This window comes from Homo sapiens, chromosome 22, assembly GCF_000001405.40.
Source record: "Homo sapiens chromosome 22, GRCh38.p14 Primary Assembly".
Taxonomy (NCBI): Eukaryota; Metazoa; Chordata; class Mammalia; order Primates; family Hominidae; genus Homo; species Homo sapiens.
This window is the reverse complement of record NC_000022.11, coordinates 17,105,700-17,121,566: the sequence shown is the minus strand read 5'-3', so window position 1 is coordinate 17,121,566 and position 15,867 is coordinate 17,105,700. Positions and strand designations below refer to the sequence as shown.

The window sequence follows — 15,867 nt, the reverse complement described above, 5'->3', positions numbered from 1 at the left end:
AGGCCACAGGGCTCCCGACCCGACTGTGACGCACTGCACCCCCGCCCCTTCTCTTCCCGTTGATCCAGCGCGCCGCGCTTTCTCCTCCTCTGGTCTCGCTGCTTCCTCTCCCCCTCGAATCCAGTCCTGGTTTCCCCGCCGCCAGCCTCCCTCCCTCCCGGCGGGACTCGCTCCCCGCCCCGCCCCGCCCCGCCCCCGCCTCGCCTGTCTTCACCGCGGTCCGCTCGGTTCACCGCCTGCCCCCTCTCCCTGCCGCCCGGCCCGGCTCGCCCAGTCCAGTGGCTCCAGTCCGGATCTCGCCGCCGCCCGGCCCAGGTGCGAGTCCCCACTGCTGGGGAGGCGGCGGGCCCCGGCTCCCCTCGGCCGCCTAGCCCGCCTCGCCCGCCCGGGGTTGGCGGGGAGGGAACAGCTGGGCGGCCCCAGAGCCCCTCGGAGGACAATGCGCCCGGCGCTCGGCCACCCTCGCTCGGTCTCCTCCGCGTCCGGTTCCTTCCCGCCGCCCCCGGCAGCCGCCCGGCTGCAGCCCCTCTTCCTCCGCGGGGGCTCCTTCCGCGGCCGGAGAGGCTCCGGCGACAGCAGCACCAGCACCAGCACCAGCCGCGGGGGAGGCGGCGGCAGACGCGGCGGGGGCGGCGGCTCCCCGAGCAGCAGCACGGGCGCCGAGCGCGAGGACGACGACGAGAGCCTCAGCGTCAGCAAGCCGCTGGTGCCCAACGCCGCGCTCCTGGGGCCGCCGGCTCAGGTGGGCGCCCCCGCCGGCCCCGCGCCTGTCGCCTTCTCCTCCTCAGCGGCCACCTCCTCCTCCACCTCCACGCCCACCTCCTCCTGCAGCATGACAGCCGCGGACTTCGGCGGGGGCGCCGCGGCCGGGGCCGTCGGGGGCCCCGGGAGCCGCTCGGCGGGGGGCGCGGGCGGCACCGGGACCGGCAGCGGCGCCTCCTGCTGCCCGTGTTGCTGCTGCTGCGGCTGCCCAGACCGCCCCGGCCGCAGAGGTCGGCGCCGCGGCTGCGCCCCCAGTCCCAGGTGCCGCTGGGGCTACCAGGCGCTGTCCGTGGTGCTGCTGCTGGCGCAGGGCGGCCTGCTGGACCTGTACCTCATCGCCGTCACCGACCTGTACTGGTGCTCCTGGATCGCCACTGACCTGGTGGTGGTGGTGGGCTGGGCCATCTTCTTCGCCAAGAACAGCCGGGGCCGTCGGGGCGGCGCAGCCAGCGGCGCGCACAACCACCACCTGCACCACCACCACGCCGCGCCGCCCCTGCATCTGCCCGCCCCCTCGGCCGCTACCGCTGGGGCCAAGGCACGCGGAGCCCGCGGGGGCGCCGGCGGCGCGGGGGGCGGCCTGGGGGCGGCCGCGGCAGCGGGCGAGTTCGCCTTCGCCTACCTGGCCTGGCTTATCTACTCCATCGCCTTCACTCCCAAGGTGGTGCTGATCCTGGGCACGTCCATCCTAGACCTCATCGAGCTACGCGCGCCCTTCGGCACCACGGGCTTCCGTCTCACCATGGCGCTGTCGGTGCCCCTGCTCTACAGCTTGGTGCGGGCCATCAGCGAGGCGGGCGCGCCCCCGGGATCGGCAGGACCCCTGCTGCTGCAGCCCCAGCGGCACCGCGCGGCCGGATGCTTCCTGGGCACGTGCTTGGACCTGCTCGACAGCTTCACGCTGGTGGAGCTGATGCTGGAGGGCCGCGTGCCGCTGCCCGCGCACCTGCGCTACCTGCTTATCGCCGTCTACTTCCTCACCCTCGCCTCGCCGGTGCTCTGGCTCTACGAGCTCAACGCCGCGGCCGCAGCGGCTGCATCCTGGGGCCAGGCCTCCGGGCCTGGCAGCTGCAGCCGCCTTCTGCGCCTGCTGGGCGGCTGCCTGGTGGACGTGCCCTTGCTGGCGCTGCGCTGCCTCCTGGTGGTCAGCTACCAGCAGCCCCTCTCCATCTTCATGCTCAAGAACCTCTTCTTCCTCGGCTGCCGGGGCCTGGAGGCCCTGGAGGGCTGCTGGGACCGGGGCAATCGGGCCTCCCCGAGTCGGGCCAGAGGGGGCTACGGTGCTCCGCCCTCCGCCCCTCCACCACCTCCGCCACCACCTCAGGGAGGCTCCCAGCTGGGCCACTGCATCTCGGAGAACGAGGGGGGTGCTCATGGCTATGTCAACACCCTGGCTGTGGCCTCTCAGAATTGAGGGTGAAGGGCACGGGTCCTTGTTTTTGGGTTGAGAGTCCCCAACCCCCTTGTCTTCTACCTTCTGTCACCTAGATTTGATCAGGGTCTATTTGGAAGAGGTAACCCTTTTCAGGGCTAAGGGCCAGGGTGTTCTTCTGCACCCTGGGGTGAGGACGGCTTGGAGGGAGACCAGCAGTTAACGGTGAGGGAGGTAGGTGCACTTACCCTCTCCTCTCTTCTCCTATCCTACCCCAATCCTGACCTCCAAGGGGCTGGTACCTCTGCTTCTTGCTTTGCCCACCTCCACTCTAATTCCCATCCATTAGGAGGAGAGGGGTGCTGGGCCTTGGACCTTCTCCCTTGCTTAGAAGTGCCAGCCTCTTTTAGGCTGTGGTTAGTGGCCATTGTCCCATGCCTTGAAATTGACCCAGAACCCACTTTCCACTGATGTGTCTCTTGGATTTCTTCCAGGTGATAGATACAAAGTGTATGTCTCTGTGTGTGTAGTGTTGTTTTCTCGTGTCCACCCTGTGGCCCTTTGCAATGGGTAGGAGATCTGGGGAGGCCCTGCCCCCTACACCATACTTATCACCACCCTCCTCTTTTCTGCCTGGATTTGTGACCATGAATTCCCAGGAAGAGCTGGGCCCCTGGGAGCTGCCCAGGTACTCCCCTTGAAGGGAGAATCTCACCCAGGATCTTCCTCAATACTGCTCCTCTCTTCTCAGCTCAGGGAGAGGAGGGGATCCATTCTCTAAGGACCAAACTGCACCCTTTCTTGGGTGAGTGAGCATTTCTACCTCCGTGCTTTCAACTTTTGTTGCATCATGCACTGATGCTGCTTGCAAAAAATGAAGACAAAATACTCAGAAGTTGCATTTGCCATGGCCACTGGCTCCAGCTGGGGTTTGGTGCCAGTGTTATTACAGGGTCTGCGGAGTATCAGCCATTGGCTTGGCCTCTCTCTGTTCCTCCCTCTGCACCTAGAACTCTTATCCTTCCTGTGGTTTGGTGCCGACTGGGTCGGATCTGGGCTTAGAGTAATAGCTTTGGTGGGTTTCCTGGATGGATGTGAAGTTGGGCCTCCCATGGGCCCAAGGGAGTAGGAAGCCCCATTCCCCACCTGTCCTTCCTCTAGGAAGTGTAGATCAGAAAGTGAGGTGGTGACCTCCCACCTCTGGTCTGGTTAAGAGTCTCACTAGGGCCAAGGCAGGCTGCAGAACTTTCCCTCTTCCTCTCATTGAGGGTGATGACAAGAGACATCCGGGGACTGTGCACTTACAGTCGGTGTGGAATGTCACTCTTGCAGTCTTTGAGGCAGGATAAGTATTTTTACATATTTTAAGGGTGCAGGAGGACAGCAGCTAACAAGGCCAGGAAATACTCACTTCCCTCCACCCTCAACAGGATGTGGTGGGGGTGAAACTTGAAGAATTTTTGTTTCCCCTTCTCCCTTCTTACGTTTGGGAAGTTTTATGTAGTGTAACAAACTCTAGACGAGTTACCAGAAGATGTGGATTCTAGTTCTGATTCTGTCACTCATTGGCTTTGAGTGACATATTTTTATTTCCTGGGCCTGTTTTCTCACATTAAAAAAGTAGAAGTTAGATGAGTGATCTCTAAGGTTGAAGGTAATTTCAGCTCTCACATTCTTTTGAGTTTGTGGCTCTTGAAAGCCCTGGTCCTGATGCTCCCTGTAAAGGTGGCTGGGAGAGAAGCCAGCCAGGCTGCACTTGCAGAACATTCCCTGCTCTGTACTGGGTGTGTGAAGCCCCAGCAGAGAAGGCCGGAGGGAGGGCTTGGGTGCCTGGGCTGGGTGTGGGGCAGGGCCTGGCACAGCTGCAGAGTGCACAGGGAGGGTCAGAAGTGCCAAGTCACTGGCCGTTAACTCAGCACCCAGGCCAAGCCCCCGCCTCCCACTTGAAGCCCCCTCTTACAACTGTTTTGGGGGCTTGGAGCAGAAGACACCCTTGTAGACAGACATAAGAGGGGCAGAAGGCTTGACCAGAGTTCTCTTGAGCCTCCTCATGCTCTCAGAGCAGGGAACAGCGGGGGAAAATGTTTACACTCCATGCACAATCTGTGCTTCCAGTCCCTCACCCTATGTGGCCCAATAGCTGGCTGGATTTCACACTTAATTGGTATTTTTTTCTGCCTTCTTCCCCTGCCCCCACTGACTCCTCTCCTCTCCCTTTGATTGTACTCAAGGTTCTGGGGCCTGGGCCCTGGGTGGGTACCAACAGCTGCTCGCTGTTCCCATGTCCTCTCTCCAGCTTTGCTGTGTTTCTCTGCTACCTAATCTCAGTGACTGTGAAAGGACATTGTGTCTGAGCCATGGCCAGCCGCTGGCTGGCCCCCTGATCTGCCCCCCTTCTATTGTTTGGATGGCCATCTCCTGCTGGGCCTCCCTGACTGTAAAATCTCTGTACTGTTTGTTAGGTTTTTGGTGGGAGGCTGTGATAAGTTCCAATGAGCTGCCACTTCCCTGGATATGTCAAGAAGCTGATGGCAACTTGGCCAATTCTGGCAGATATCAGGCCCCCAGTTCAGCCCCAGTCACCCTCTTTTACACATGTGGGTCAACCACTGTGTGCTCAGAGGGTCAGTCCCTTCCTCTGCTGTGTTTTTCTTGAGTCCTTGCACTCACTTCCCCTGCCCCAGTCACGATGACCCCTAAAGCTTCCTTTGCCCTTGCTTTCTAGGGCATCCCTAGTGAAGGGGCAAACCTGAGATTTCTCCGTGGACCTGACAGCCAAGGCAGGGCACTGTCTCCTGAGGCCAGTGCCAGCACGTGCATGGTTCACAGAAAAGGATCCTGGGCTCAGAATCTCGAGAACCGCCTGCTCCTAACAATTCAGCAAGTCAGGGGCTTCCTCTCTGTTAGTCCCCAAATCCTTACTTATTTTAAAAAGACTAGACCCTCTCTAAAGACTGTTCCATTTTAACATGTCCTGATTCTGCATCCGTGGGTTTTGTGAAAGAGAGCTAGCTGGCGGTTAGAGCCTGGAAGAAGGAGGGAAGTGGCACCTCACTAGCATTTATCACTTTTTTCCTTCTCTTTTTAAAAATAAAACCAGACTCTGTTCTGAAAATAAAAAACTTGAGACTTGTGACAAGCTTCCTGTGTGGTTTGTTTTAAGATCTTTTCTGTCCTGGTTTCCTTACAAAATTCTTAAATGTCACTGTGACATTCGCCATTATTTTATAAGTTTGTGTTAACATTATGGGTACACCTTGGCCCTTCTAGGCAGTTGGCATGTTTTTCAGGGAGGCAGTGAAGCTGTGGCCTGGAGCTGGTGAGTGTCTTGACATGCTTTGTTGGCACAGCCAGCTCAGCTCTAATGGACTCAGCCTGAGAACGATTTTTTCTCATCACCCTCGGCTCTCTCTCACTTTTCTTTCCTTCCTTCTTTCTTTTTCTTTGTTTTTGAGACAGGGTCTCACTCTGTCACCTGGGCTGGAGTGCAGTGGCGCCATCATAGTTCACTGCAGCCTCAACCTCCTGGGCTCAAACAATCCTCCTGCCTCAGCCTCCCAAGTAGCTGGGACTACAGAAGTGTGCCACCACGCCCGGCTTCCCATTTCTTTCTAAAAGAGTAGCTTTCCAAAGGGGGAACATCTTGAGAAACTAATTTTTAAATACTGTGCCCTCCTCTATCACTCTTGCCCCAGCCAGAAGCACAAATTCTTACGTATGAATAAGAAGAACAAGGCCATGGGTTTTTGTTTGGTTTTATTTTAACATGAAGGGTAGTATTAAGTCTAAGCAAGAACACTGGGCCTGCACCAAAATAAACAAACACACAGTGATTTTTTTTTTTTCTTAGCACAGAGGCAGCCAGTATTACACAGCCCCTCTCTGTGTTGTGACCCTAGCTTGCTGCTTCTGGCTGTGCCAAATGCTAAGCAGGCGTTTCACTCAGGGCAGCCCGGGAGGCAAGGTCTGAGAGTGGAAGCTCCTGGGAGCCTGAGCTCTCTCTGCCTCTCGTTAGCTGTGGCTTTGGCCATCAACTGGAACTATGTCATTATTTATAAAACAGGAGCAATCACAGGGCTGTGGTGAGAATCACATGAGGTGACACATGTGAAATGGTCCTTTCCCCTAAGACATATATAATTGTAACAAGGAACAAAATTTACATAGAAAATAATTACAGAACAACGTAGGACCATGTCTTCATTTCTCCCTGGAGCGGATGTAAAATAAGGTGATTGATTTGAGCAAGCATGTTATGAATATTTAGAAATGTCTTCTAGGGAAGCAAGCTGGCGCTCACCGATTTTGGTTTGCCAGGCATATCAGAAGGCACTTTGTGACAGGTGCAGTAGGGACGCGGAGTGATCTCTTCACGTGTAGGCAATGCCCAGCCCACACCTAGGCCTTGCCTGAGTCTGGCCATGCAGTTCTTGCCCTAAGGAAGAACAGGAAAATATAGCGCGTGGTTGACTGTCAGGCCCTCTGCCCCTTCCCTCGTCACAGCCACCTTCAGGGCTGCTTTCTCTCCATTTTCCTGAGGCCGAGAAAGAGGAGGTAGCTGGCACAATGCCACATTGCAGTCAGGAAGAAAAGCCAGTGTGCACCAAGGCCCTTCTTCCTCCCACATCTGCACTGCTCCAGGCAACCTTCGGTAGTCGGCTGTTGCTTGGGTCCAGCTTCCTTTCCATGAAAGCTCAGCCATTCTAGCAAAAAAGCAGGGGCTGTTTTCATCTTCTGAGAGAATCCCATGACACTGGTGAGCAGAGGCGGCCAGTGGGACACCCGTGCAGGGAAGCAGGCAAATGCAGGGACCAGCCACCCGCATCCCTCCTTTCTACTCCCTCTCCTCCTCCTACCTGGTCACTGTGTACCTTCTTCCTGTCTCATCAGAGAGGAAGGATCCAGTGAGCGAACTCATCTTATAGTCAATGACCTAAGGGGTTATTCCTCCTGGGAAGGACTCCAGGGGGAGGTGGGCTGGGCCAGGCTTCCTGGCACACTTCAAACCATGAGACAGGAGACTGCATGTTCCTCCCACAGGCAAGACTGGCCCACCCGGGTGACTGCCTGCTTTCATCAACCTAAATGGACAGGGCGAGAGTGTGGACCCAGTGCTAGGATCTGGGAGAGGCGATGGGGCATGGAGAGCCATGCAGAGGTGGAGGGCAAGATGGACCTGGATGCCATTTCAGAGTGAGGGGAGGCCCCGTGGGGAAAGCGTCGGGTACAGAATTAACATGAACAGCTTGTGCAATGGGTTTAGGGGTAGCTGCTTTTCTTCATATTCTTCTATAAAATATACCCATGGAATCCATATTGTTGCCATTTTTCCACAATGGACATGTTCACTCAGCCAAGTACTTCCTGAGCTCCTGAGAGACGCCAAATATGGGAACACATATTACTTCTATAATCTGAAAAGGCAAACACCGGAGGAAGAGAGCAATACCTAATAGCAGGGAAAGAGGATCAGTGGTACCTCAGGGGGCACAAACTGCTCTGCCCCAGAAGCAGGCTGGTGCCACTCGGGGATACTGCAGGCTTGCCAGGACCCCATGAGGTGGGAACTCCTGCCCCACCCACTTTACAGATGAGCAAGCTACCTAGGGCGGACGAGCAGCTGGCCAGCCCCCAACCCTGCTGCCTCTTCTTTGTAAGGATCCTCTGTCCGACACAGTTGACTTGTGGGATGCAGGCCCGGCTGCTGGAGCAGCGGCCCTCCATCTCACTCTGTCCTCAGGTGCCCCGGGCCTTGCTGGAGTCCCAGCTGGCAGGGCGCTAAGGCAGAAGAGGGCCCTGCATACACCTCATTTATTTAGGAAGGGGAGCACCAACCACAGAGCCCAAAGGCTATAGAGTTAAAACCACCCACTGCATTGTAAGTACATCTTCTTCTCTCTTATGCCCTATTTAATTTTCAAAGATAAACAGGAAAGGCCAGGCACGGTGGGCTCAGGCCTATAATCCCAGCACTTTGGGAGGATGAGGCGGGCAGATGGCTTGAGCCCAGGAGTTCGTGACCAGCCTGGACAACATGGTGAAACCCCATTTCTACAAAATATATACACACAAATTAGCCGGGCACAGTGGTGCACGCCTGTAGTTCTAGCCACTGGCAGGCTGAGGTGGAAAGATGGCTTGAGCCTGGGAGGTCGAGGCTGCAGTGAGCCATGATTGCACCACTGTAATACAGCCTGGTGACAGAGAGACCCTGACTTAAAAACAAACAAAAAACCAAAACACAACAAAAGCAAGAAAGAAGTATATCCATCATACCCTTGCATTCAGAGATCCCAGCTCAAACTGCTGAATGGATGTTTCAGAGACCGAACACCACCCTTTTTAGACCCTAAACACCTTCAAGGACCTTCCTATGCAGAAAAGAGAAACTGGTTTTGAATCAAAGTAATTATTCCTTAAAAAAAAAAAAAACAAAAAAAAAACTAGGATCAAGATAGTAGGCAGGAAAAAGTCATGAAACTCTACGCGGGAGTTGGGAGCTTGTTGGTGGCTGCGTGCATAATCGGCCTGGACACAGGCATGGTTAGATGCTCCGCTGCTTCTTTCCCAACCGGAACCACCTCTGCACACTCAGGAGACGAGCTGAAGAGGTGGGAGGGGCACAGCGTGGAGGGCACCTGTTCTTAGAGAGACATTTCTTGGTGAAACAATTTATTAGCCATGGTTCAGAATAATACAAAAATAAAGGTGTGGCTTTATTTACACACACTCTTGAAGCTCTTGGCATTCAGCGGACAGCAAACACCATACTCAGAGTGATGGAATTAATAGCATTTAGGGTAAGCAAGGACCAGTGTGAGACTGGGCCCAGGAAATGGGGAGGGAATGTGAGGAGAAACAGGGAATGACATTAAAGAAGAAACAGACACCTTGGAGAATTTATGACTCCTTTCTCTATGTCATGTCCAGAAGAGGCAAGTCTACAGAGATCAAAGTAGCCTAGGGGTGCCTAGGGATGGGGAGGTTGGGGTGGTGACTAAGGGGGGCTGGATTTCTTTTGGGGGTAGTAAACTCTAAGACTGACTGTGCTGATGGCTGCTGAACTGTGACTATACTAAACCGGCATCAAATTGTGCAGGGTCAATTGTGGATTGTATGGTAAGTGAACTGTACTCCAATAAAGCTGTTAGGAGGACAAAGGCAGCTGCCCTGGAGATAGTAGGCAATGCCCATCAGGACATTTACTGGCATGGGCTCAAAGGCCAGCAGAGCTAGAATTCAAGGTTCCTGAGGAATGGGAGCAGATGGGAACATGTGCTCTACGCAGGAAGAGTGCATTGTGGTATCCTGTACTCTGGGCGTCAAACAGTTATTTATTGGAAGCTAGGGAAAGGTCACAGAATGCATGGTAGGTGTCCAGACCCAACGAAGCCCCTCTCCAGGATTATTGGAGAGACTGAGCCCAAAAGGCTAGTGGCTGGGAGGCTTCTGCTCCTGTTCTCCTTTGCCTGGTCCTTTGCTGCTGTTGGGTGGATTATGGGCCATACACCATCTGGGACACAGAGCTTTGGTGGCCCTGCTACCACTAGGTAAAGTCTAACTGCAAGAAAAAACTCCGCAACTAGCAACTTCTTGACCTACAGTAAGTGGCTCGACCTTCCTGCTAGAAACTCTTACCAGATCAACAAATTTATGCACTTTTATTGATAATCTTTCACGCACATGTATGTGTGCGCACACACACATGCAAACTGTCCTGTTTGCTCTCCTGTCACATTTCCGAATCTTCTCCTCCTCACTGGAGGTTGGAAATATAGTTAAGGACTCAGGCATAGGAATGAAGGGCACCCTATTCCAGTGTCAGACGGCACCTCAATGTGTTCTTCAGGACCCTGAAGCCAGAAGCCTCTAGCCTACCCCCAGGAGGTACTTCAGGAACAAATTCTTCAAACACTGGCTTCAGAGCCTCTTTTCAAATGCTGTCTTTGGACCTCAGACCCTGAAGTCACAGCAGCACCCCTTCCCCACACAAGGTCTGCCCAGATCTTCACTGACCCACCACCCCTCATTTCCTTGCCCTTGCACCCTGGGGCTTCCTGAGCTCAGGGGAGCTCCAGCCCAGCTGCTCTGAAGAATCCTACGTGCTAACAGCTCCCCACTGATAGTCGGAACGCGGGTGCAGGGCTTCAGACTCACCTTCCTGCCAGATGCTTTTACGTTTCACCTCGACATTTCTCTCTTCCTATAAATGAACTCAGGTGACATCCAGCTGTGTTTAGCCCTCAGCCTCTCTCCATGCAGAGGCTCATCAGACGAAAGGTGCCCCAGGCCTCAGGACTGATGCGCACAAGGCTGTCCCCACCCCTGAGCTCTGGCGACATCCCCCCACCCCCCACCCCGATCTCTCTCACTGCCTCCCTCCTTCCCCTCCAGGCTCCACCAGCAGCTCCCTGACAAGCTCACTCCACTCACCTCCCAGCACTTACCCACAAACTGCTTCCTTGCTGGGACTACGCTTTCCCCAACCACAATCCTTCAGCTCAGGCATCTCCTCGGGGATCCCCCCTGACCTGGGTGCCTTTCCCGTGCATGCTCACAACCCTGGGCAGGCTTCCACTCCATCTTTCTACTTTTTTATTTTTTTTGAGACAGGGTCTCACTCTGCTGCCCAGGCTGGATTGCAATGGTACCATTATAGCTCACTGCAGCCTCTACCTCCTGGGCTCAAGTGATCATCTGGCATCAGCCTCCCGAGTAGCTGGGACTACAGGCATGTGCCACCATGACTGACTAAAAAAAAATTTAGGTAGAGATGAGGTCTCACTATGTCGCCCAGGCTGGTCTTGAACTCCTGAGCTCAAGCAATCCACCTGCCTCGCCTTCCCAAAGTGCTGGGATTACAAGCATGAGCCACTGCACCTGGCCCATTCAGCGTTTACATCCCGCGTGACCATCTTTTTTTTTTTTTTTTTTTGAGATAGAGTCTCGCTCTGTCATCCAGGCTGCAGTGCAATGGCACAATCTCGGCTCACTGCAACCTCTGCCTCCCAGATTCAAGCAATTCTCCTGCCTCAGCCTCCCAAGTAGCTAGGACTACAGGCATGTGTCACCATGCCCGGCTAATTTTTCTATTTTTAGTGGAGATGGGGTTTCACCATGTTGGCCAGGCTGGCTCAAACTCCTGACCTCAGAGTGATCCACCTGCCTCGGCCTCCCAGTGTGCTGGGATTACAGGCGTGAGCCACCGTGCCCGGCCCATCCTGTTCGTTTAACGTGTCCTCGGCACTAGCGGTTAAGTTCCTTCATGGCTGGGGCCATGCCGCATGCAATTTATCTTGGTATCCCAAATGCCCGCCACATAGTAGGTGCACAATAAATGCTGAATGAACGAATAATGGAGCCTCAAGGACGCTCTACCATTAGCTCCTGGGAGCGGGCTGTGTGGATTCCCCTGGGGATAGACGATAACCAGACCGCTGCACAAAGAAAAGTTAGGAGGGATGCCTGGGATTAAAATCCAGACATTTACATTTTAAAGCCTACATTTCACACACGAACATATACACATGCAGACATGTACACACAGATGAATACGTGCACACACACTCCTCTCTCAAAGCTGGGATCTGGGCGGTCCCTGGGGAGCCGCCCTCATGCACTGGGCCCCTCTGACTCTGACCCCATCGTGTCCCAGCCCGAGTTCTTCTGCAGCTGGCGGAAAAGCAGCTGCCGCTGGAGGCTCCTCAGGCTCTCCAGGTCCTCGGGAGAGAGTGGCAGGGCCGGCTTCCCTGGGTCCTGCTCCTCTTCCTCCTCTTCCTCCATTTCCGTGAGTCCCTCGGGGGGCTGCGGGGAGCTCCTGGAGATGTAGCCCTGGTCAGACTGCACTGACTGCCGCTGCTCCTCCTCGTAGGGCGTGTGTGGGTCTGTGAGGACCATGGCGGGTCTACTGCAGCCCCCCTGGGCCTGGCAGCTCAGACTCTGCTCGAAGAGCGAGAGCATCAAGCCTTCGAGGTGCTCCCTCACGTCCTCTGGAAGGAGGTCAGGAGACGCCATGGGGGTGCTGCTGCCAAGGGGCGAGTCCTCGGGGTCCACGGGGAGGAAGAGGACGCTATTTCGCCCAGCGCCCGGGCTGCCCAGCAGCGGGCAGGCCTCGCCCTCCCCCGCCAGTGCCAGCCGGACTGCGGCACCGTCAGCCAGGGGCCCAGGCTCCACCGCGGCCACCAGGGCCCCCTCCTCTGCGGCGAGCACCAGGGTGTGGAGGGGCTGCGGCGCTGGCTGACCCCGGGGCTGCAGGTGAGGTTCCAGCTTTGCCACTGCTGCTCCTCCTTCCTCCCCGACCAGCGGGTCTATGGCCAGGCAGGCCTGGGAGCCAGGCTCGCGCACCAGGGGCGCCCGCTTCACGATGCCGGTTCCCGGAGGCAGCAGTGGCTCCTCAAACACCTCTTCGTCCAGGGACGGGGCATCCTGGTCATCTGCTGAGTAGAGGTTCTCACATTCGAACCAGTCGGGACAGCGGACCTGCCAGTCCCGGAACCTGTCCAGGGCGGCGCGGAGCTGCCTGCCGCCCGGGCTCCGCAGGTAGTTGTCCCCCGACAGCTCCCCTACGCGGTGCATGCGGCCCGGCTGGAACATCTCCAGGTCCTGGATGCGGAAGTACACCTCCTCGAACCTGTCCATGAGCGGGTACCGCGGCGCCGCGCCGAACAGGTCGGGGACGTCGCCGTCACAGCTGACCTCGCTGAAGTAGCAGACTACGTAGGTGCCGAAGCAGGCTGGCCTCTTGAAGTCCGGGAGGATCATGTTCATGGCTGCAGTGAACAGGTCCCCCACGGGCTTTCCGTGGTCGCAGCGCAGCCGCACAGGCGCCCCCCGGCCCAGGAGCGCCTGCCACTTGGCGCGCGTGCCGCGGGAGCACAGGACGATGATCTTAGAGTTGCTCTCCACCATCTCCTGCTTCTGACGGCCCACCCAGGTCATGACTCCTGCCTCCGAGATGGCCTGCTCTTCCAGCAGGTCCAGGGCCACTTCCGTGCCGCAGGCGGTGAGCAGGAACTGGGCGAATTTCAGGACCACGTCCACGTAGAGGGGGTGGTCGGCTGAGTAGATGATCCAGACCTTCCTGGGCTTCAGCGGTGGGGGGATCAGGTCAGCCGCAGGCAGGCCATCTAAGGAAACAAGACCACACATGCTGACCCTCACCCCAGGGCCCAGGGCAGCTCTGTGCCTGCCAGCCCAGGAGGGGCCTGGACCAGGACACAGAGCTTGGCTCCCTCCCTAAGCTGAGAAACCCAACTGAGGCCTGTTGGAAAAACCCAGATGTTACTATTCCACCTTTGGCTGCCTGAAAAAAATCAGTCTGCTGCCTTGTGGGAAAAAGAATCTCTCAACGTTCCTAGCTGGTCTTTAGCCTATACTTTAATTAAGAAAAGAAAAAGAGGCACCAAGCTCTGTTGGTCTGCTCCAGGGAGGACCTCTGTTCACAAAATACTTACCTTTCTTTCCTTGTCTGAGTGATTCAAAAAATGGCACCCAGGCCTTGTTATTGGGGGCCCTTCTGAGTGGGGTACTGGAAGGGGGTTTCTAAGGTGGGGTCTCCTGAAGGGACTTGGGAGTTAGAGCACAGGAGGCGACCCACGCACTTATCCCAGGAGAACCCTCCACTGCTTTAAAAATAAGCAAACATGCAAACCAGGAAATACTGACCGGTGTATTTGGTGTCATCACTGTATTTTTCACTTCCAGGCCCTGGAAAGGAAAAGAAATACACTGGAGTGGTTCTTTGGGAAGAGAAATAGAAACCAGCTCACAGGGTGTCTGCCCCATCCCTGACAAAGGGTGAAGGGTAAGGGGGCAGCCCCGAGACTGAGCAGCGAGGCCGTGCTAGGTGGTCGCACAGGCATGAGTCCTGGGTCTGCCACTACGAGCACTATGACCTGGAGCAGTTACTAGTGCCTCTGAAATGCAGCTTCTTCCTCTGTGAGGTGGGTCTGTATTTGCTCTTGTTTAATGGGTATTAAATGAGTGTGTGTATGTGACGTGCCTGGCACGTTGTACATAATCAATTGGGATCACAGTTATTTTGTAGCACTGATCCAGCTGGGACCCCCAGTGCCGGGGGGCAGGGGGTGGTGTCCATTCTGGTTCCTCATTACGGTCCTGGTCTGCCCTGTCTCCCTGAAATTTGGCCACCCCAAACTGACTCCACATGAGGAAAAGCTCTTCCCCAGAAGTGTCTTTACAGAAGACATGCATCTTACCACACTTCTTTCCAGAAGCAGCCCCACCAGGCTGCTTGCAACATTTCCTCCTGGTATTTTTGAGGTGAGGAAGGGGAACCCACATACTTAAGCAATTGTTCCCCTCAGAGATGTGATGAAAAAACTGCTCTGCGGGGGTTAACTCCTTAGTGACAGCTGGGAGGATTGAGATCCACAGATGACTGAGCAAACGACTTAGAACCTTAATCTCAATCCTAACCCTTTCAGCTCTTCCCCAGAACTGTCACAAGACAGCCAAATAACAGCGAGGCTCCTCTTGCCTTCACCCTGTGGTGCAGGACACTTCGGAAAACAGAAGCGCAACAGCAGAAAGGAAACCAAAAGCGCCGCCGCCGCCCAGCCCCAAACCTTTAGAGAGCTGCACCGCCTGTGGAGCACTGGCCGAGATGCTACTGAATGTTATTGGAACCTCCCATAGGTCCTCCCATGCCTGGCTGGTTTTCTTTCTACCACATAATAATTAATAATGATTAACACCTAATCCTGACGAGCCTAGGGAAGGGTGGAAACAGCTTCCCAGATGACGGAAGGAGCAGCCTAGGGTCATGGTGGGGCAGGCAAGGGCTGAAGCCCCAACCGGAAGGCCTGTGTTCTCCCGGCTTAGGACTTGGCCAGCAGAGGGCTGCAGGTGGGAGAAGACACTGGTATGTACTAATCCCCACCAGCAAGCACCTTCCTCAGCTACTCATTTAACCTTCGTCACACCCTTAGAGGGAGGCATTATCAGTACATTTTACAGAAAAGTGAATCCATGGTGTATTAAGTAACTGGCCTGTGACTACAAGGCTAATGAGGTGGGGCTGGGGTCCACCCCTGTGGCTCAGGGCAGCCGGAGCCTTCTCTATCACCCGATGCTGACCCTCACTATTCTCCCTGACCCCAGGCGTCCACGTCTGGCGGCTGCAGGATGGGGTTGTTCAGGCTGCTCCACCTGCCTGGATGATCATTCCTGACACAGGGAAACTTTACTCCGGCTCCTTCCAAACTATTGATTTTAATAATACTACATTTGATAACAACAAATATAATCGTGGCTAACAGATACTGTGCAAATAGCACATGCCAGGTTCTGTGCTAAGAATTCATGTGTCTTATTTCACTCAGTCCTTACAACAGCTTTATGACGTGGTTCTCAAGCAAGAAGCTGAGGCTCTGAGAATAAAGCGATTTGCCTTGGTAGTGAGTGGTGGTGCTGGTATTAGAGCCTGACTCCAGGACAGCCAGAGCCCCAGCGCTTACCAGCTAGCCTCCAGGTCATGCAGACGATGAGCAGGATGACGGAGCCCACCAGCAGGATGGAGATGCCCGTGATGAACCAGTACACCCACAGGGGCATGTAGTCTGCGGTGAGCAGAACAGCGTGAGTGATGCGGCGGGGCCTGCCCTGCCCACCCTGAGGCCCCCAGCCCTGCTCCCCAGCCCCAGGCTCTGTCCTCTCTGGCCCCACCACGACAAACCATGGTCTCACCCCCCACCCCGGGCTGGCCTCGGTTC

General features: G+C 55.8%; 2 protein-coding genes across 5 annotated transcripts in view, besides 4 other annotated features; one reads left to right on the top strand and one right to left on the bottom strand.

Annotated features, from left to right (window-relative positions):
* The first annotated feature begins 206 nt into the window (after positions 1-206).
* TMEM121B (transmembrane protein 121B) lies at positions 207-5,270 on the top strand. Of its 3 annotated transcripts, none has more exons than NM_001163079.2 (2): positions 207-315; positions 1,424-5,270. In NM_001163079.2, exon 2 carries the CDS (start codon positions 1,505-1,507, stop codon positions 2,174-2,176), a length of 672 nt encoding a protein of 223 aa, NP_001156551.1. In that variant the 5' UTR covers positions 207-315; positions 1,424-1,504; the 3' UTR covers positions 2,177-5,270. The 3 variants fall into 3 exon arrangements, with proteins under 3 accessions (NP_001156551.1, NP_114096.1, XP_011544426.1); XM_011546124.3 differs by lacking the exon at positions 207-315 and having other exon boundaries at positions 322-2,368; positions 4,860-5,270; NM_031890.4 differs by having other exon boundaries at positions 207-5,270.
* Positions 366-495: a silencer, noted in NCBI's record as "silent region_13433". NCBI's record gives its function as "represses an Ori minimal core promoter by ATAC-STARR-seq in GM12878 lymphoblastoid cells {active_cell/tissue: GM12878}" and the evidence as "EXISTENCE:reporter gene assay evidence [ECO:0000049][PMID:35858748]".
* The window catches only part of IL17RA (interleukin 17 receptor A), a 30,694-nt gene continuing 20,700 nt past the window's right edge, over positions 5,874-15,867 (bottom strand). Inside the window, exons 11-13 of one of the 2 annotated variants that reach the window (NM_014339.7) lie at positions 15,613-15,714; positions 13,799-13,840; positions 5,874-13,260 (exon numbers count right to left, since the gene is read on the bottom strand). In NM_014339.7, coding sequence (NP_055154.3) covers positions 11,747-13,260; positions 13,799-13,840; positions 15,613-15,714 — 1,658 coding nt within the window. In that variant the 3' untranslated portion in view covers positions 5,874-11,746. The remainder of the gene's footprint in view (positions 13,261-13,798; positions 13,841-15,612; positions 15,715-15,867) is intronic. The other variant, NM_001289905.2, reaches the window with a different exon arrangement.
* Positions 13,411-14,610: an enhancer, noted in NCBI's record as "MED14-independent group 3 enhancer chr22:17587847-17589046 (GRCh37/hg19 assembly coordinates)". NCBI's record gives its function as "activates an origin of replication core promoter dependent on BRD2, BRD4, P300/CBP and CDK7 cofactors, and independent of MED14, by STARR-seq in HCT116 cells {active_cell/tissue: HCT116}" and the evidence as "EXISTENCE:reporter gene assay evidence [ECO:0000049][PMID:35650434]".
* Positions 14,568-14,787: an enhancer, noted in NCBI's record as "active region_18611". NCBI's record gives its function as "activates an Ori minimal core promoter by ATAC-STARR-seq in GM12878 lymphoblastoid cells {active_cell/tissue: GM12878}" and the evidence as "EXISTENCE:reporter gene assay evidence [ECO:0000049][PMID:35858748]".
* Positions 15,557-15,757: a silencer, noted in NCBI's record as "peak4440 fragment used in MPRA reporter construct". NCBI's record gives its function as "represses an SCP1 promoter by STARR-seq MPRAs in K562 erythroleukemia cells {active_cell/tissue: K562}" and the evidence as "EXISTENCE:reporter gene assay evidence [ECO:0000049][PMID:32103011]".